At 41.5% G+C, this 20,748-nt stretch overlaps 1 protein-coding gene across 26 annotated transcripts in view, besides 4 other annotated features; it reads right to left on the minus strand.

The window, feature by feature from the left end:
* Positions 1-20,748, minus strand: part of PSD3 (pleckstrin and Sec7 domain containing 3) — a 557,503-nt gene that overhangs the window by 300,485 nt on the left and 236,270 nt on the right. Inside the window, exon 1 of one of the 26 annotated variants that reach the window (NM_001412888.1) lies at positions 20,548-20,662. The exons of 24 other annotated variants lie outside the window; for them this stretch is intronic. The gene's annotated coding sequence lies outside the window, so the exon portion shown is untranslated. Of the gene's footprint in view, positions 1-11,831; positions 11,947-20,547; positions 20,663-20,748 lie in introns of those variants that run through there. One more of the 26 variants, NM_001412889.1, reaches the window with a different exon arrangement.
* Positions 11,476-12,675: an enhancer, noted in NCBI's record as "BRD4-independent group 4 enhancer chr8:18696773-18697972 (GRCh37/hg19 assembly coordinates)". NCBI's record gives its function as "activates an origin of replication core promoter dependent on BRD2, P300/CBP, MED14 and CDK7 cofactors, and independent of BRD4, by STARR-seq in HCT116 cells {active_cell/tissue: HCT116}" and the evidence as "EXISTENCE:reporter gene assay evidence [ECO:0000049][PMID:35650434]".
* Positions 18,683-19,183: an enhancer, noted in NCBI's record as "H3K27ac hESC enhancer chr8:18703980-18704480 (GRCh37/hg19 assembly coordinates)". NCBI's record gives its function as "activates a minimal SCP1, AML or CMV promoter by ChIP-STARR-seq in primed H9 embryonic stem cells {active_cell/tissue: H9 hESC(primed)}" and the evidence as "EXISTENCE:reporter gene assay evidence [ECO:0000049][PMID:30033119]".
* Positions 19,018-19,177: an enhancer, noted in NCBI's record as "active region_27054". NCBI's record gives its function as "activates an Ori minimal core promoter by ATAC-STARR-seq in GM12878 lymphoblastoid cells {active_cell/tissue: GM12878}" and the evidence as "EXISTENCE:reporter gene assay evidence [ECO:0000049][PMID:35858748]".
* Positions 19,184-19,684: an enhancer, noted in NCBI's record as "H3K27ac hESC enhancer chr8:18704481-18704981 (GRCh37/hg19 assembly coordinates)". NCBI's record gives its function as "activates a minimal SCP1, AML or CMV promoter by ChIP-STARR-seq in primed H9 embryonic stem cells {active_cell/tissue: H9 hESC(primed)}" and the evidence as "EXISTENCE:reporter gene assay evidence [ECO:0000049][PMID:30033119]".

A 20,748-nucleotide genomic window follows, 5' to 3' on the forward strand; every position in this document is an offset into this window, starting at 1 on the left:
ATATATGAGAGATGAAGAAGAGGGAGGACTCAAGGTAGACTTCAAGGTTTCTGACTTGAACACCTTGGTGAATCATAGTGCCTTTAGCCAACCTTTAAGCAACACAAAGATAAGCCAGACTTTTAGGAAGGCAGCAGATTAAAAAAAAAAAAAAGAAGCAAAAGCTAGTATTTCACAACACTTAAATCATTTGGGTCTCATAAACTCCATACAAGGTAGACAATTTATATATACATATACATATATATAATATATATATGTATATATATATATATATATATTTTTTTTTTTTTACAAAAAAAATGAGGTTAATGAGCTATTCCCTGAATTGCATAATTAAAAGTTGCAGGCAGCAGAGCTACAAGCTATGTCCTCTGGCTCCTTGGCTCATGGTAATTTCCATGTCACAGATTTGCCAAAGGAAACATATCATCCTCATACTCCAGCTTTCTACTTTTTCTCCTAAGCCAACTATAGAAAGCAGCCAAAAATCCACCCAAAAAATGACTTTAGTTTTATAGTTGCTGGTTCTTCCATTGAAGGCTTTGTTGTACCTCCTTATTAGTAATGGGAAATACCCACAAACATTCAAGACTCAAGTTCATTTATACGTTACAGCAACAACCAAGTGACCACATTCAAGCTTCGATACAAGAAAGCCATCTTACTCACAATTTTTTTTTTAATTCTCTTGACAAAAGGTATTTTTTACGATGAAAAGTCAAACTACTGGCCAGGCATGGTGGCTCATGTCTGTAATCCCAGCACCCTGGGAGGCCAAGGCAGGCAGACTGCTCGAGCCCGGGAGTTCAAGACCAGCCTGGGCAACATGGTGGACTCCCATCTCTACCAATCAATCAATCAATACAAAGAAATACAAAAGTTAGCTGGGGCTGGGCGAGGTGGCTCATGCCTGAAATCCCAGCATTTTGGGAGGCTGAGGCAAGCAGATCACATGAGGCCAGAAGTTTGAGATCAGCCTGGCCAACATGGCAAAACCCTGTCTCTATTATAAACAAACAAACAAAAAATTGGGCATCGGGGCACATACCTGTAATCCCAGCACTTTGGGAGGCTGAGGCAAGCAGATCACATGAGGCCATGAGTTCAAGATCAGGCTGGCCAACATGGTGAAACCCTGTCTTTACTAAAAATGAAAATATAAAATTCAGTTACTAAGAGGCTGAGGTGGGCGGACGGCTTGAGCCTGGGAGGCAGAGATTGCAGTGAACAGAGGTTGCTGCTACTGCACTCCAGCCTGGGCGACAGAGTGAGACTCCGTTAAAAAAAAAATACTGAAAATTTAAAAATTAGTTGGGCATGGTGGCATGTGTCTATGGTCTCAGCTCCTAACGAGGCTGAGACAGGTGGATCAACTGAAGGCACAGGCTGTAGTAAGCTGTGATCATGCCACTGTACAGCCTGGGTAACAGTGAGAGAGACCCTGTCTCCAAGAAAATTTTTTAAAAAACGGGCAAATTATCTAACATTTAGAATTTGAAAAGTATGTTCTCTATACCATAGAAAAACTAAAAACTCATTTAAAAAACACACACAAGGGAGAAAGTTTTAAGGTTATCTAGTAACCCAAGAATCTTGAGATACATCCAAATTCTTCCATAGTTCCCCAGCAATTAGAATGGATGTCATTCCCTTTATCTAAAACGTTCTAGTGCCTATAGAATCCCGTCCATCAACGCCCTAGCATGCTGTTCCAGATTTGCTGCGTTTGGCTGACCAAGTCTTGAGCCTCATTTCCCACTAAATTTTTCCCTTGTACACTATGTGGTCTTTGGCTCATGTTATTGTTTCCTAAGCTTCAGGTGTCCTCTCCCTTCTAGCACACACATCTACTCCTCCTGCAAGGCTCAAATCAGATGTCTCTATGAAGCCTGCGGAAACCCTCGACTGACATGACTTCACAATCTCGTAGCACTGTTGTTAAGCCTCTAATAGGGCACTTCTTTAACTGTCTTGAAATAAAATACATGAGATGAATTAAAGGATACTCTACCGTTTGAGAGAATTTTTACTACAATTTTGTAAAAAGACATTTTTAAAAGACAACCGTTTCACAGGGCCTGATAGTAAAAAATAATAAATAAAAATAAAAAATAATAATCACAACCATACCTTCTTCCCCAAAAAGCTCTGAAGATACCAAATCTTAATAACTTTATTTTATTTTATTTTATTTTTTTGAGATGGAGTGCTTTGTCAGCGAGCCTGGAGCGCAGCGGTACAATCTCAGCTCACTGTAACCTCTGCTTCCTGGGTTCAAGCAATTCTCCTGTGTCAGCCTCCCGAGTAGCTGGGACTACAGGCACGTGCCACAACTCCTACAAGGTTTTACCATGTTGGTCAGGCTGGTCTTGAACTACTGTCCTCAAGTGATCCACCCACCTTGGTCTCCCAAAGTGCTGGGATTACAGGTGTGAGCCACCGCACCCAGCCAGTAATTTTCTACTGAATGAAATAGGCTCCAGATCCCACTGAGTCCTCAAGCTCCAAGGACCTTGCTATATTAAAGCCTTTAGGTCCTACAAGTGCTGTTGCTGAAATGTGCTCAAGTTATATTTGGTGTTCCCAATTAAACTCCAATAGACCACACCTAAACCAGACTCATTGTGGGTGACTCTTGCCTTACAACAAGTTTTATACACCAAAACTTCTGGGCATCTCTTTTAGTCATTTCCCAGGAGGACACAGAACACAGGCACAATGCAACTTGTTTAAAAGAACAACAGAAATTATCTTCTGTCATTCAAAGCAGAGGAGCAGATATCAGGTATCAAAGTACACTTTGGTTATCCAATCAATCACTTTCATTTGTTGGCTTTTGGGCAAACTTTTTTAAAAAATGAGTTACCTAAAGAACAACATGGTCGCGAAAGGAGATAAAAAGACTGCAGCATAACCCGAACTCCACCCCTTCGGAAGGCGTAGCTGTCCTTTGGCTGCACTGCTCCCACTGCAGTGTAGACATGGAAGTATCTGCTTCCCGTTTCAGGGTTCTCTAATCACAGACTGGATTCTTTCAACCTAAACCATCTATGAGAACAGAGCATCTTGGGGAAAGGCCAATACCATTTTCAGCTATGGAAAATACCTACAAGAGCCATTTACTGGGGAAGGAGCTTCCCTGAAACCATTCATTCTAGGAGGCAACATTGTTAAGGGCAGAGAATAATGGACTGCCTATCCAGAAAGCGAGGCAGAGGCAAAACAACTTAGAGGTTAAAAGCAAGGACTTGTGACACCGACCACCTTGGTTCAAATCCTGACTCTGACGTTTGCTTCTGTGCCTCAGTTTGCCCATCTATAAAATGGGGTAGGAGTGCACCTAAGTGCATAAAATAGGGCAGCTACTATTAATCTGGTTCTGAAGCTAAACGCCTGCATGACCTCAATCAAGTCACTTAACATCTCAGCTTCCTCATCTGTAAAGTGAAAGTATTAAATACACACCCTTCTGCAGCTCTAGAATGGCTCTGAACTTAAGTATAGTACCACCTAACTCAATGTACCAGGATTAGCAGTCTCAACTTGCTTAATTTTATTAGTCATATAGTAATTTCACATAAAATCAGTTTGATCACCGTATTTTTAGTTCCAGTTCTCCAAGGTCAACCCTCAGTTCAACATGACATCAGGCCAGATGCCGTGGCTCATGCCTGTAATCCCAGCACTTTGGGAGGCCGAGGCAGGCAGATCACCCGAGGTCCGGAGTTTGAGAGCAGCCTGGCCAACATGGTGAAACCCAGTCTCTACTAAAAATACAAAAATTAGCCAGGAGTGGTGGCGGGCGCCTATAGTCCCAGCTAGTCAGGAGGCTGAGGAAGGAGAATTGCTTGAACTTGGGAGGCGGAAGTTGCAGTAAGCTGAGATGGCACCATTGCACTCCAGCCTGGGCAACAAAGTGAGACTCCATCTCAAAAAATAAACAAATGAAATAAAATAAACAAACAAACACGACATCAAACAGGTTCCCTCATGAAGACATGTTGCAAATAAATAAGCTATAGAAAATAGCCAAAAAAGGATTTGGTCTTGCTATTCATATTCAGTTCTGAGTTCAGTGTGTAATTTATAGTAACAGAATAAATATAACAAAAAAAAAATAGAAAAAGTATGGGAAGAAAGGTAAGTTTACTATAACTTGAGAAAAGTTGAAACAATGTCTTTGTATTAACTTCTGAAAACATTTTCATAAACTGGAACCATCCAGGCTCACAAAAGCAAAAACCTTCCTTTCTGTTGCCAACAAAACAGCACCAAATACTTTTATGTACATTCCTGTGTTTTCCTCCAACTGCCTTTTTCACTCTAGCTCTTGAAATATGGTCTTTATTATAGGTGGAGTTCTCATACTTTATGAGCCAGCCTGCCATTTTAGATGCTGTAAAAGCCCAGTGGATGTATCACTGCAACCCTAAAGAGTAAGGAAATTAAAGGATAAAAGTATAAAGTATAGGGTTATATCTTGCTTCACGTCCAAGGATGCACAGAGGTCATCTATGTATAAAACTGCTTTTTTTTTTCAAATTCCTCAAAACTGTGCACAACTCCAGTAAACAGAAGGCAGGCTTTCCCTTCAGTTCTGCATAGATTCACATCAGGATAAAACTCAAACGTTTTGGGCACAGGCTTATTGGCCACACTCCTTTCAACTCCAATTTCCCTACGCCGCTACTTCTGCCAACCAGTACAGCTCACTGTGGTTGCTCAAGTTCACCAATAACATGTCAAGCATTATCCTCCAACCCCCTTTTAACTGTTAACTTAGGAAACACTGAGTGACTATTGTGTGTCAGACATAATGGTCAACATATTAGTCCATTCTCACAGCGCTAATAAAGACACACCCAAGACTGGGCAATTTATAAAGGAAAGCCGTTTAGTGGGCTCACACTTCCACATGGCTGGAGAGGCCTCATCGTCATGGTGGAAGGCAGAGGAGGAGCAAAGGCATGTCTTACATGGTGGCAGGCAAAAGAGCAGGTGCAGGGGAACTGCCCTTTATAAAACCATCAGACCTGGTGAGACCTATTCATTATCACTAGAACAGCATAGCTCCCATGATTCAATTACCTCCCACCAGGTGCCTCCCATGACACACGGGGATTATGGGAACTACAATTAAAGATGAGATTTGGGTGGGGACACAGCCAAACCATATCAGTAAACAAGGCAGATATGCTCTCTGGCATGGCAGTTTGAGGTTATAATTGAGCAGCCATGAGAGATGATTTTTAAAAAGCAACTATGTTAAAGATGAATGTTATTTTTAAAGATTTAAAATGTTACTTTAAAGGAGCAATGCAATAGAACACATAGCCTAGTCTAAGGACATCAGCCTTCCTGGAGAAAGTGACAGCGAAACTGACACTGAGGACCAGGAGCAGGAAAGCCCCAGGCAAGATAACAAGACATATTTTAAAAAGCAAGGGACATTCACTCAGGTTGAAGCTTGTGGGACGGAGGTGAGACAGTGTGAAGAACACAGAGCAGGCAGAAGATGAAGGTGGAGGTGAGCAGCTGCTTCATTATGAAGGCTCACACTGACAGCACCATCAAAACACTTTTCCCTTTGCTTGAGGTCCATCTTGCACTTTCCCAATAGGCCAGTACCATTTATTAGAAAATAATCAGATAACTAAATATGTGACATGCCATCTTAGCAGGTATAATACATTTTAACAGGAACTTTGTGGAGGCAGTGCTTTGACCAGAAAGACTGATAAATGAGTGAAATTTTAAGGCTCCAAGACAAGCCAGTGGAGAAAATCTTTGGGGTTAAAATGAGTTTTCCACTAGTTTCATTCCTGTATTTGCTGTGTAAGTTACCAGAGCATTCCAGTTATCTAGACAGCATTTAGTTATCTAGTCAGAATAATTATCACTAAAAAATACAACAGTGTAAGACATGTGCTACCTGCCATTACAATTATTATCCTCATTTTAAAAGATCTAGCACAATAAATTGAGAAAAAGAAATGAAAGAAAAAATAGAAAAAGGTAGAAATAAAATAATTACTTGCATATAACTGTTGACATGTAAAGCCCAAAAATATTAAGCAAAAAATTACAACTAGTAAGATAGTCAGTTACAAAAATATAAAAACAATAGCTTTAATAAATCATGAGGGACCAGTTAGAAAACATAACTGAAAAAAATTCTACCAAGAATAAAATTTATGAAGTAGCTAGGAATAAACTTAAGAAAACTAAAATAAGGAAAGTACAAAATTTTGCTGAGAGAAGTGAATTACAGTTAAATAAACACTATGCTCCTGCAATAAACATTGTAAAGATGTTTCTCTCACTAATCCCTCTAAAATGTAATCCAATTCAAAGAGCACATGAAAGATAAGAATGTAGAGAACTTGAAGAAAATATATTTGAATGTATAATTTCCTCATAAAGAAGGTATTTCTAACCTAGAAACTAGCAGAAATCATGATTTAATTGAGCCTTGATTACATGGCAACACCACTAAGCAAAATTAAAATGATAAATGGATAGAAAAACACCCATTATACAAAAGGCAATACTATCCTTCAAATGGAAAGGGCTTTTGGGTACCCATAAGAGAAAGATTAATACAACAAATCAAAAAATCGGCAAAATACATTGTACTGAGCATTCTAATCACTGCATCCTTGTGTCAGGGCTAGAGAAGTCAATTCATCCACAGCCCCTGGCAACAGGCCCCAAGAGCCTCAGCTCTCTATGCTGACCTCAGCTGACTGGAACAGGAGTGACCAGCTGATAAAACTGATCCAACAGACTGCTCACCCTAGAAATCTGGGCCGCGGATACCCATGCACTTAAACTATGACTGGGTACGTGAACTGAAAGGTCACATAAAGTAGGGGCTGAACTAAGTGGCATGGCACACCAAAGCCAGGTAGAATGAAGAGTTATATAGAGGAACAAAGACGCCATGAAAAAAAGGGAGAGTAGAGATGGCAGAGAGAAGCAGACCCTTCAGTTCTTGTGTCTGGGAGGTCTCACTGTTCCTTGCATCCTGTTCTTGGATATAAACCCAACGCCTGTGACATCCATCCAATACAATTAATTCAAGTAGGTTTACAGTCCACTGCAACCAGAGTCTAGACCAAAACAGATGTGAGCAAGCAATTCGTAAAAAAAGGGTAAGCAGATAAGAATTAGACATGTGGAAATAAAGCTCATCCATGTCAAAGACATACAAATTAAGGTATTCAGATAGCTTTTTCAGCCATTAAATTGGTTAAGATAAAAAAGCACTTAGACAAAGGACAGTCAAGTATGCGAAGAAATACAGGCACTCATACATTAAAGGCAGAAGTACAATCTGATATATATTGGACTAGGTCTAACAACTCTTAAAATATGCATATCCTAAGAACCAGCAATTATATGTCTAAGCATTTATTTTAAGAAAAGAATCATAAACATACCCAAAAATTACTTAAGGGTATTTACTGCAGTGATAATTATAATAAGACCACAAAAGAAACAAATTTACAACATATCACTGTTTTTCACGCATTACTCATCACCTTTTTGACTTTTACAGATCCTTATACCTCATGTATTGATTTACTATTATTAAGTCAGGTCATGATTTTTATTTAACTTAGTCTTCCAACTAGTATTTATTGAGTGCCTACTACATACTACATTCCAGGAACTTTTCTAGATTCAGGAGTGACCAAAACAAGACAAAAATCCCTGCCCTCGTGGAACTTACATTTTAGAGGACAGAGAAGTGATAAGTAAAATACGTAGTACGTTGGTAATACAGCCAAGGGGCCGTGGGGAAGCAGGCAAGGAGAATATGAAACCGTGAGAGGAAAAGAGTTATAATTTTAGAAAAGGCAGGCAGGTAAGTGCCCAACAGAAGAGAATCATTAAAAATGTGAAGTGGGAGAGCAGGGCTCTGGGGATGAACACTTCAAGGAGAAAGAAAAGCAAAGGCAAAGGCCCCGAGGTGGAAGCATGCCCGGCGTGCTCAGAAATGGCCAAAGAGGCCAATGCAACTGAAGCAGAGTGAGCAACAAGAGTGGGAGGAGATGAGGCCACAGAGCGGTGTATGCGGTGTAGATGGGGGGGCGGATCGTGTAGGGACTTGGAGGTCATGGTAAAGGCTCTGGCTTTGACTCTGAGATAAGTCAACAAATTGAGAAAAGACTAAAGCAGGGTGTTAGTTGCAAAGATATGGGAATAAACCGTGCTCACCTGGATCACTTGAATGAGAGTAGCATTCAGAGTGGTAACACAGTTGAGATATGAATGTATTTTGAAGGTAGAGCTGACCAAATTGCTGACATGCTGAATACTGGAGACCTAGCGAAATCACCTGAGTGAGATGCCAAAAAGGTGCTGGAGACTCCCGCATTTAATGGGCTTTCAAAGTAACCGTAACCCTGAACTCACGTTTGATGCAGCAGTTAGAATTTCAAATACACATAAAATAAAAATATAATTATTAAAAAGCAAACATGCTCAGGTGTTCCCTACAGTTATCTCAAATATCATCAATGGTTCCTGCAACATACTTTCGGAATCAGTTATTTTAAATAAATCAGATTACCTTTACACCATAGAATACCAAAAGGACATTAACTTATGTGGATTTTATTTATCTGTGCACATGCAAACTCAAACACAAACACACAGAGGTTGGAAATGCATATATTAATACTAAAATGGTAACAATACTAATTTTTTAATAGTGGACTAATAGATTTATTTGCTTCTTTGTGCTTTTCAAGTTGTTTTCAGTGAATATATACATTTGTCCCGCCATATCCATGAGGGATTAGTTCCAGGGTCCTTTCTGGATACCACAATTTATGGACGCTCCAGACCTTTATATAAAATGGTGTAGTATTTGCATATAGCCTACACACACCGTCTGGTACACTTTAAATCATCTCTAGATTACTGATAATACTGAATACAATGCAAATGCTATGACAATAATTGTTTTTCTGCCTTGTTTAGGAAATAATGACAAGAAAAAAAAAGGTCTGTGCATGTTTAGGACAGAGGTAACCATCCTCCCCTGACCCGCCCAATATTTTTGATCCACAGTTGGTTTAATGCGATGTGGAACTCACAGATACCAGGGCTGACTGTACTTTGCTTCTAAAAAAAATTCAAGTTTCTTACGTGTTTTTTTTTTTTTTTAATACACATGCAGACCTTGCTCAAATCAAGTTTTGTTTCCGGTTTGATCTGATGGCAAGGCTTTTAACTAAATATCCAGAAGGAGAGAAAGGGACTGAGCTAGGAGCCTACAAGGTAGGAGTGAGGAGCTATGGTCAGAAACTAGAAACTGAATCCCAGATAGCAGTGACAGAGACAGCATATATATTCCCAAAAAGTGGATGGCTTATCACATGCAAAAACTCAAGATCCAGACAGTATAAGATAGACAGCGAATGTGAGACGCTCTTGAACCAGCCATGACCCAGCTCTGGGTCACTCTGTAGACCAGGGGCCAGCTCTCCACTGAGACTTCACTGCTTTGTGGTAAGCAAGTCTTCCTGACACAAGCCAATACTATGACACCATGTATTTATAAACTACTCAAATGCTTCCAAGTAAACGTCACTTAAAACAGGTAAAATAAACATTCCTATGCATACGCCAAGCTCAAGAGGAGTAGGAGCAAGTTCAATAAAAATCAGAGGGGGCTCTAAAAGAAACTAATCATGCTTCTGCTCTCTGTTCTAATAGTGTATTCCTCATAGGTAACTGGGATTAAGTGGAGGTTTTAGGTCAAACCATTTAGTTCTTGATGTTTTAATACTCACTGGCAAAAGATGATAAATGTAGATAGTAACTGAAATGAGACTAAACTCTAAAAGTACTCTAGGCCAGGCATGGTGGCTCCGTCTGTAATCTCAGCACTTTGGGAGGCTGAAACAGGAGAATCACTTGAGCCCAGGAGTTCCAAACCAGCCTGGGCAAGATGACAAGACCCCGTCCCTATATATTTAATTAAAATTTAAACATATTTAAAAAAATAAAAGCACTAGTCATCTCTGAGATGTTCAAGTAATTCTCCACTTGAATTAAGAACAAGGATGGCTGTTCACTAATCTCAATCAGACCCATGATTTGTTTGATCTTGAAGATGCCAGTTGTCTATCAGGCAGATGGCTAGTAGGTAAGGGGAGAGTCACTCTGGGATGAAATGATAGAGGACTGTTGTAAATACCTGTCGTGTACAGACACAGCTCCCTAATTTCTCTACTAAAGAACATAATTATGAAAGGTTTTAAGTTATCTCATTGATCAAATGAATCATATGGCTTAACTCATTAATAATTTGTGAAATCATATAATGCCATCTGACACAGCTCATACTGTATTCACCTTACAACCCTGAGTGGGACTTTTAATTTCTAAAACAATATTCTGCCAATGACAGTAGCGCTTCAGTTCTGATTTCATGTAGAGCGATGGCTTTATGTGATCAAGAAACATTAAGTACGAAAAATTACCTAAAGGTCAGCAATGCCTCACCATGCTTGGAAAGTGAACAAAACGGGTTTCCATGAAAGGAAATCGTCTGACCCTCCTTTGTGTCTTCTGCTTTACAAAAGCATTTCTGCGCTTCATAAATGTAAATATTATTCAGTAAATGTATCCTGTCCTCTTTAAAAATAAATAAATGAAGTTGGGGCAACTGAGTATGTGCAAACCAAAGTTCTGTTTTTAAAAATAATGTTCCGGCTGAGCGTGGTGGCTCATGCCTGTAATCCCAGCACTTTGGGAGGCCGAGGCGGGCGGATCATGAGGTCAGGAGCTCAAGACCATCCTGGTTCACATGGTGAAACCCCATCTCTACTAAAAATACAAAAAATTAGCCGGGCGTGGTGGCGGGCACCTGTAGTCCCAGCTACTTCGGGAGGCTGAGGCAGGAGAATGGCGTGAACCCGGGAGGCAGAGCTTGCAGTGAGCCGCGACAGCGCCACTGCACTCCAGCCTGGGTGACAGAGCGAGACTCCGTCTCAAATAATAATAATAATAATAATAATAATAATAATAATAATAATAATAATGTTCAAGAAAAAAGTAAGACTTCAGTGGCTCACAAGCTAGTAAACTGCATTTCAAAAGGTTTTGCCACTAGGTCTTATTTGTTTCTCAATCATCTTAATTGGTCTCTGAATATCCTATAGATGAAAAGCCTGAGGAAAAGGCTTATCATACAAATGGGATGACAGACAACTCAAAACCAACTTTAAAACAAGCAGAAGGGAGAGGCCTTTAAAAAGGGAACTAAAGCTCCAACACTACTTCCTGCACTGAGCTCTCTCCCAAACAGCCAGGCTGCTTGCAGCTCATCTTACCCAGAAGAGCCGCAATTGCTTCCCAGGATCCTAACTTGAGCACAGACATACCATTTACAAGTGTAAATGTGGTGAGTTCATCAGTTTCTGGCATTACCAATACAGAGCATGGACAGAAGAGACATTTCAAGTCCAAATTTTCTCCATCGAACTTTTAGACACAAACTCAGCTGAATGTTTCTATGTTTTTATAGGAAAATATTTTCTTAAGCATGAAACAGGATAAACACCAAAAACAGTGGGGCCAAGTTTGCCTTGTAAAAGATCTATTGTCCAAAGGTGAATTTCCCTGGCATCTCTTGCGACATGAGAACACCTCCCATTTGCTTTTCCTCCCACAACTCCTCAGCTCTTTAAAGGTGGAGTCTGTTTGCTGCAGCAAAGCCAAGGGGAATGATGGTTCCGGGCAGTCACAGAGGCGGCCTACTTTAAGGAGAAACACTTCTGCAAATGTAAGCAGGAACCAGGTTTACTCACCCAGAGAAAAACACGTTTCCTCAGAAGGTTTTGCAGCTCCAGTAGTTATAGAACACACCACTCACCACCAGCATCACCACTGTAAGTCAACTCCACGTGGAACTCAAGTAAGATCAGAGTTCTCCTCCAAGTATCTTACTCATCACGCAAAGCAACACTTGGGCTTGGCTATAACTCTCCCATGACACAGGGATGACACAAATTAGCTCCACACTGTGTCTTCCCTGCCTCCCACACAGTCGATGGCAGTGGACTGACAAATGTGGTAGTTACTTAGCAATACTTTGTGGTTATCTCACCCACATCATTCACAGAGACAGACAGTGCCACCCTTCCATAAAAACTTCTCCCCTCCCACAAACTGTTGAATTCTACATAATAACTTACATTATTACATGGAGGAACAAAATACTGGCTTGTGCTTAGTAGAAAGTAGTCATTCCATGGACCTTTAAGAATCCTAATGCTGATCCTGTTGTTCTCTAGGTCTTGAGCAAAATCACTCCACAGTAAATCAAAGGAATGTGAATGCCAAGTGAATAAAGCCAGAAGAGTTTAATGAGAACTACCACCCACCTGCAAATGTCCCCCCCACATCATTCTCAGCAGCTAAGCCTCAAACCCTCAATCACTCTGAGTAATAGGTGGGGAAGTTGTGTGGGGTGCATTAAACCAAAATGTCTCAAACACTTGTGATGAACATGTTGGCCTCCCAAAGATGACCTGAAGGGGGTTGGTAGGGTTGGTACAGACATTCTGCTGTCCTTAAATGAACCCTAGTTGGTCTACTCAAGCTGAGAAAAACATTTCAGTGGGATCTATCATGAGCTTTCATTTGTCCCCACTGTCATTCAAAGCATTCAGACAAAAACGATAGTTAGTGTGTACTAAGCACTTCCGATATTCCAGGTTGGTCTAAGACGTTTACAGGCATTAACACATTTAATCTTCACAACAATCCTGCGAAGTAGGTATTATTAGTATGTCCACCTGGCAGATGAGGAAAACAAAGCACAGGTGCTAGGTTTCCCATAACACGGCAGGCCAGTGGCAGAGCTGGAATGTGTATCCAGGCAGTCTGACTTTAGAGACCACACCCTGAACTACAGCTTATCCTGCCTCTCTGGGAGAGGTCTGTCAGGCCAGTGTGGGACAGCAGATTCACAGACAGCAGTCAGATTGGAGAGGCACATGATGATAATATTCTGGAATACAGAATATATAAAGGGAATTCTAGTTCCAATTTCACTATTAACGGTGTGACATTGGGCAAGTTGTCTTACTTCCTCGAGATCAGTACATTCATCTGGGTGTGTGTGTGTCTCGAGATAGATGAATGCACCTTGCCCCTCTAAAATTCTACTACAGTCTACTACACTTGGTAAGGTTATTAGAATATCATGCTCTATTTTAAAAGTACTAAAACAAGAACCTAAGTAGAGGATAGAAAGCAGAAGAAAGTCCCATGATTTCAGTTGGGTAAAAATCAAGTTTACAACCCAAACCACCTACTAAGCCTGCTGCCAGCATTGACAACTCAGGCCTAAGGCAGCTAGGTAGTAACCACACTAATTGGATGGCTTAGCAGACTGCTGTGTTTGTTATGGCTGGCTAGTGTGTATGCCAATATTCATGCATGCTCAGGCACTGCGTGGAAAAAAAGTCTGTTGTGTATTCTCAGCGAGGGCAGCCCACTAAAACACAGCACCTTGGGAGTGCTGGGGAGGCCCAGAGAGTGGAGCTCAGCAGCTCCCATTCAGGCTCTCAACAAAGCAGCTCTACTTTCAAACAGCTGATAAAACTTAAAGTTCTTAGTAAATCTTTATTTTTAAGAGTGTCTGCTATTTAAACACACACACACACACACACACACACACACACTGAATTTAAACACTCACTAGCATGGAGAGAGCAGACGGGGCTCTCTAGGTCTCATGTGGAAGAGCAGGCATTGTTTGAAGTGGGTAAGAGGCAGGACACTGGTGAATGTGTGGGCTTCTCTGGTCTGTGCCCAGCTAGTATCAACCAGTCATGCCTAGGCGACTCAAGTATAATGAAGATAGCCAAAATTCTTTGAGTTTTCAAGAGACCTCCATCTGGCGCTAACATGAATGAACCATCTTCAGGAAGTCTCTGAAAGACAGGCATAGAAAGATTCTTCTACACCATTCCACCTGGGGGAGAAGCCCTAAACACATGAGGATGACAAAATGAATCTAAACACATTAGCTAGTAAAGAGACCCTAATCCCTTCATTAAAGACTTTAAAAAAAACTAGACTTTTGATATAAAACCTACTCTATTTCTAAACAATACTTCAGACCAGTGGAGAGGTAGGGAAGGAAGAGCTGCCAGAAACCCTGCCCACGTGTCACAGGAGCAGAAAGGCAGTGGATGGCTCTCCTCTGCTGTTTCCAAGGCCAAAAACCCAGTAAGACCTCACCATCTTCCCATGTTAACCAGGATTTCCAAAGTCTTGGAATACCAAGAAGCAAAAAGTACCTACTGCTGGGTCCATAATGAGCCTGGCATCTGCTGACAGAGGATTACACCAACTAGCATTTGGCCCACAGCCAGAGCAGCTTAGACCAAAGCCACAGCTACTCTATGCGACATCACTATGTGAATTCCCATAAACCCAAGGCAGCTGAAGACTGCACAGTTCCAAAGTCTACATGGCATTTTATAACCCTTTTGCGCTGTAGAGACTACTTAGAAGTAGGACATAAAAATGCTCTCATAAGGGATTTACATGGGAAAAACAATTTTGGTTCTCTTTGAGAGCAATCTGGATAATTTAAGATAAATAGCTCTCACAAAATTGTATGGCTTTGGCCGGGCGCGGTGGCTCACGCCTGTAATCCCAGCACTCGGGGAGTCCGAGGCGGGCGGATCACAAGGTCAGGAGATCGAGACCATCCTGGCTAACACGGTGAAACCCCGTGTCTACTAAAAATACAAAAAATTAGCCGGGCGTGGTGGGAGGCACCTGTAGTCCCAGCTACTCGGGAGGCTGAGGCAGGAGAATGGCGTGAACCCGGGATGCGGAGTTTGCAGTGAGCCGAGATAGCGCCACCGCACTCCAGCCTGGGCGACAAAGCGAGACTCCGTCTAAAAAAAAAAAAATTGTATGGCTTTACTAGTATACAGACTATTAATATTCAGTGAAGAAGAGCTCTTCAGCAAAGGTTTTAGACAAACATCTATCAGGGATGAATGCACTGATTAAATGAAGCCTCATGCAATGTTAAGGTACAGAAGAAGCCTTCCTCAGAAGTTCCCTCTTGCCAGAACACATGGAACCAGGCATGGACTTTCCTTGAGCAAAAACCCATACATTTTCATATCATTCTTTTATAAAGATAAATTCATTTTCCATGTTATTTTTTCCACAGTCAATATGCCACTCAAAAAGGCTGCCTTTGCTATAGCTGTTAATAAAAACATAAAACCATCAGTAGTATTAGAGGAACCCAGTAGCAAGAGTTATTGCTCTCTTTGGGAGGCCGAGACGGGCGGATCACGAGGTCAGGCGATCGAGACCATCCTGGCTACCACGGTGAAACCCCATCTCTACTAAAAATACAAAAAAATTAGCCAGGTGCGGTGGCAGGCGCCTGTAGTCCCAGCTATTCGGGAGGCTGAGGCAGGAGAATGGCGTGAACCCGGGAGGCGGAGCTTGCAGTGAGCCGAGATCGCACGAGACTCCGTCTCAAAAAAAAAAAAAAAGAGTTATTGCTCTAGGTAGACAAGTTGCAGCATGAGGAATTAGAATCACCATACCTAAACATCTGAGCAAAATTCAAAGAATATTTTAATTTCTCCATTTTCTTCCCTTTCCCTTCATATAACGAAGTAATATAAGAGGTATTAGGAAAACCCCTCCTCCATGGAAAGATACTTCAGAGCACTCTGTATTCTGGGTTTATAATGCGTTCTCCTCTTCTAATAACAGCTTTGAGATACAATTTCAGTCCTCACCTAACACCCCTGACCCAAGGGCATCAAAAACGGTACAAAGAATAGAGAAGTAGAGAAGTAATGAGTGTGCCATACTGTTATTTGTTGCTAATCTGGGCTTTGTGATTAAGGGAACTAATATCAAAAGCATGGTAAAATAGAGGTATATTCCAGTACTGATGATGGTGGTGATGGTGATGAATGACAGTTGACAATATTTATTGTGCACTTACTGGTTCCAGGTACCATGTCAAGCACTTCACAAGCATTATCTCAATTGATCCTGACAATATCTCCAGGAAGTAGGTCTTCTATAACCACTTTATAAGATAGACTATTTTTTTTTTTTTTTTTTTACCCAAGGCAATACTGTCAGGAAATGGGCAAGCTGGGCTATGAAGACAAATATCCTGATTTAAAAAAACAAGGTTAACCCTACACAAGGTTCTGTCCATTGGGTTTTGAGTTCTGGTCCCACAAGACAGATGTCCAGCAGCTGGCTCTATGGGGTTCCAAATTTTAACATAATTATGGGAAGACTCCCATCAATACCCTTTAACTCATAAATTACCTATAATTATCTAAGAGCTGTATCTCCCCAGGATTAAAAACTCCAAGAGTTCTGATAATTAGTCTTCAAATACGAAGGTACCATGGAAAGAAAGAAAATAAAGTTCCCCTTCTCCCTTGGGTCCCCTGAGAATTCTAAAGATGGTGAAATTTTTTACAAATTGATCTTTTCCCTGTTGTATTTCATTAATATATAAATAATTTAAGATAGACACTTATACCTTCCATCAGAAACTTTAAAACTCTAATAATGAGTCCTAGGAGATCTAACACCTTTCCTCTTTTTAGTTCAAGGTCTTACATGGAAACAACTTAAAGTAGACTTTATCTTGACTAAACATGATCCCCCTCTTGTCTACTATATTTATAGCTCTTATTGTTCTCTACCCTTGAGCCCAAACCACATTAAGATTGAATCACTTCTACTGAAAACACACTGATGCTAAAAAAGAAAAAAAAATCAGACTAGAACATACTGGATTTGTTTTCATTTCCAACCACAACCCCTACTCCACATTAAATAGGATGGATTGCTTTCTCAGGGAAAAATAAGATTATTAGAAAAGTTAGTTAGAAGCACAAAAACCAATGTGTAAGAGAGACTGTTCACTTAGCAGGGCTCCTCTGCTATGGAAGATTTTAACCAAGAGAAGAATCGTACAGCCAAATTCCAGAATAAGCTACTCTGCATAGCATTTACTTTGGGTATAAAGAAAATGACATCACTACAGCGCTGGGATCCGAAACAAGTGTTTCATACAAAGCTGGTTACAATGATCAGTTCATTCCAAATTGGTGGGAAAGGCTTTGCACTAAAATCTGGGAATGTACAGCCATGGATGGCTCAAAGCACGTCATGGGAGTTCAAACTGGCCTAGATTTTCTAAAATCTTGTTATGTAAAGGGGATAAAATTTTAACTTGAGGATAAGTATATTCTAAAGGAAAAACATGAGGTAAAAATATGGTATCTTGTCTATTAGAATATTGCTTTGAAAGTAAAAAGAATATTTCATTACTACCATTCTGATTTGAGATTCTGTTACTCCAAGAAGCTGGCAGCATAAATTATAGGTAATTTATGAGTTAAAGGGTATTGATCATAGATATGACTTTGAAGAGGATGGCGAGAGGAACGGCTGTCATCTCAGTAGTGAGCTGAAGAAACCCTGCGTCTCCTGGAGTGGATGGGGTCCCCTAGGCCTTTGGCGGCTGCACTGTCCCACTCACATGGTCCTGTCTGCATTCTCAGACTTACTGACATAAGCAGGGTGGCAACTCCCTCATCAGTCCTTCACTCGTCACTTCCAGGTGCATAGCACGGCATTCGGAAGACAGGTGCGTCCACACTGAGAGTGCTCTGGGGCGGCCCCCACCAACACTGTGGGCAGTGTCAGCCACACCCATGAGGGCCGCTGGACCTCTTTCACTCCCTCTTCTCCCTCCCTGCTGCTGACAGCAGGAGTTTCACAGGCCTACTGCAGCATCAATTAGAAATAGCAGAAGAGGGTGGGTGTGGTGGCTCGCACCTGTAATCCCAACACTTTGAGAGGGCAAAGCAGGAGGATCATTTGAGGCCGGTCGTTGGAGACCAGCCAGAACAACATAGCAAGACCCCACCTCTACAAAAAAAATTAAAATAAATGGCGGAAGAAGGGAACTCAAACTGGTCACTTAGTCTCAGGATTTTATGGGAAAGAATACTGAAGTTACTGTTTGGAAGAAAATAAACACATCTAAATGAAATCCTTTATATTTCTTGACCAATAGCATGAATAATTAAATGCATTTGTAATAATCTCCACTCAATACTGTTCGCCTAAATCAATGGTATGAGCCTAGCGAAAGCATTCCACTCTCTGGGAGTGACTAGACTGGTATTCTTTGTAGAGATGGGATGTATATTAAATGCTTATCAATTTGACTATAAAGTTACCCTGTGGAAGCAAAAGAAAGAGAGATAGAAGAAAGATTTGCAGATTCCCTCATGATCAAAAAACATTCTTAATAAGCCATTTAACGCATGTGTTTGACCGTATCAGTAGCAATACAAATGTTTTGATTGTGATATCATTACCAAGAAGGCAAAGGTAAATATTTCTCTAGAGAAACAGTGATATTCCCTGCTAAACCTCACTCCAAGGCTCAAGGGCACAAGTAGGCCCTTCAACCTGAATGCCAACATTTAACAGAGGCTGTGGGGCTACGAATGTCCTTGAGGCTTTTGAAGAAAAATCAGATGAACAGAAACGTAGGGGGCGGAAACTAACGATAGAACAGTTTCTACCACGCCCTGCAGGGAAACATGTTCCTTGTGAAGGTACAGGGGTTCGAAGGTTCTACTGCTACTCCTGGGGAAACTCACACCAGGAAGCCATGAATGTCTCTGGGAGGTTGTATTCCTGGCAGAGAGGGTCACGGACTGCTGACAAATGATCAACAAATGCCAACAAATCAGTACACTGACCAAAAGTAACAATCAACTTTCAAACATCTTGTGGTAACCTGGACTTAGTGCTGTGCAGAAATTAAAAGACGGCCTCTGCCTGGATAGAAGTTGCAGGATGCACGGGAGGCGCCGGCAAAACCGACTGGTCTCAACTCCCTTTGCCCTCACTTGCCACATCTCTCTAGGGGTCTTGCTCATGAAGAGGGAAATTACAGATTATGGCAGGTTGGTGCTGGAAAAAACCCTAAATTGTTTGGCTTGGCCCAACAACCTCATTTTAAAGATGAGGTCAGCTCAGAAACGGGTAGGTGACACAGCCAAAGACAGAGCTCATGTGAAGTACCAGGAAAACCCCAGGCCCCACCCTGCCAATCCCATGCTCCCTTAACTCTAAAGGGAGAAAAATTCGCCTCAATTTGTGCCTACAATACCCATGTCCTGGATAAGCAAGAGTCAAGAAATTCCCGATTTGGCCTCGACACTGCCTTTCACCTCTTACATGCTGGTTTCACTTCCGCTGCTGAGGCGCACACTTCTGCTTTCATGCGAGAAACCAGGCCCCTCTGAAAAGGGATGGAGAAGAGGCACCATCAACCAGTCACTTGAGCCAAGGAAAAGAGACTGCAGTATGATCTCCTACTGTCCTGGTGCTTCCCTTCCTGGAAAAGGTGCAATTGGGGTTTCAAAGTAAATATCTCCCATCAGTCAACTCAGAGTGAAGATAACCAGTGGATGTTACTTCCATGAAAGAACAATGCAAAACGTCAAGCTGTGTAGGCAGCCCAGGAAGACTGCAAACCAGCCAAAAGCACTCTCTCCCTCCCTCCCCTTGCTCTGCCTTAATCACTGGGCAAGCTATGCACACTGTTGCTACTTTTTTGGTATATTCTACCTGCTCCAATCCCAGTATCCTCGTTGTTTTCAATTTGTTTTGAATAAACGATCCTAACTGGTCACAAATAACTAATCTAAGGAGCCAGAATTAGTATGATTTCGTACCGTCAAGTAATGAGTTTTCAGAGGTGGAATACACCATGTGAATTATTTAACCAAATCTAATTTTTCAGATAAGTAAAAGAAAGCTTCAGAGAGAGATGAAGAACTTAGATATAAACAGAGCTGGGGCCAGAGCCAAAGTCTCCTGACTCCCAGCACAATGCTTTTCTGGTGACCCTCTGTGGCACCCGCAAACACAAGGCTACCCTGGGATCAGAGTCACGCTGGCCTTGGATGTGCAATGGCCATAGCAGCATAACAACTTAAAGTCCTCCTCCATGAATGGCTAGTGAGAATCAGCAAGATAGGATGTGGGCTGCAGAAACAATCGGGGAGACATGAGCCTGGTTAAATATTCAGGGAAGAAAAAGACCCATGACAACTCAAAGAATGTTGAAGATAAAGCAGACTGCAAAGGCAGGGAAGAGAAAGAAAAGAGGGGAAGGAACACGTGTCATCAAGAAAGCAGGTGAAAAGAACAGCATCAGAACACAAAAAGGCTAGCTACTGATCACAAGATACACAAGCTTTCGAGAGTTAAAAAAAAAAATCCCTAAATCCTGTTACTTCCTTTACAGTGAAGTAACTTTCTCTAAAAGAAGGCATTCACTGTTTAACCATGTTGGTGTACAGTTACATCAGACAGTCTTCAGATGTGTTTTCCTAAAACTGAACGCAACACAACATAAATATGACTTCTACCCCAGCCAACAAAACATGGATTTTGATACTGAATACATACTGCGTAGGGCAACCCCACCCTTGGCCTGCAACCTAGCATCTGCAGATGGATCTCTTAGCCTCTTGCCAGAGCTGGTCCCCTGGTTGCATGGCCCTGAGACCTCCCAAGAAGAACTGGGTGCCACAGGAAGAGATACTGCTGACTCAGGAAATGGCCACCTCCCATGGAGAGGCAGCCAAGCCAGGCATGCAACTGAGAAGC

Source organism: Homo sapiens, chromosome 8, assembly GCF_000001405.40.
Source record: "Homo sapiens chromosome 8, GRCh38.p14 Primary Assembly".
NCBI classification, from domain to species: Eukaryota; Metazoa; Chordata; class Mammalia; order Primates; family Hominidae; genus Homo; species Homo sapiens.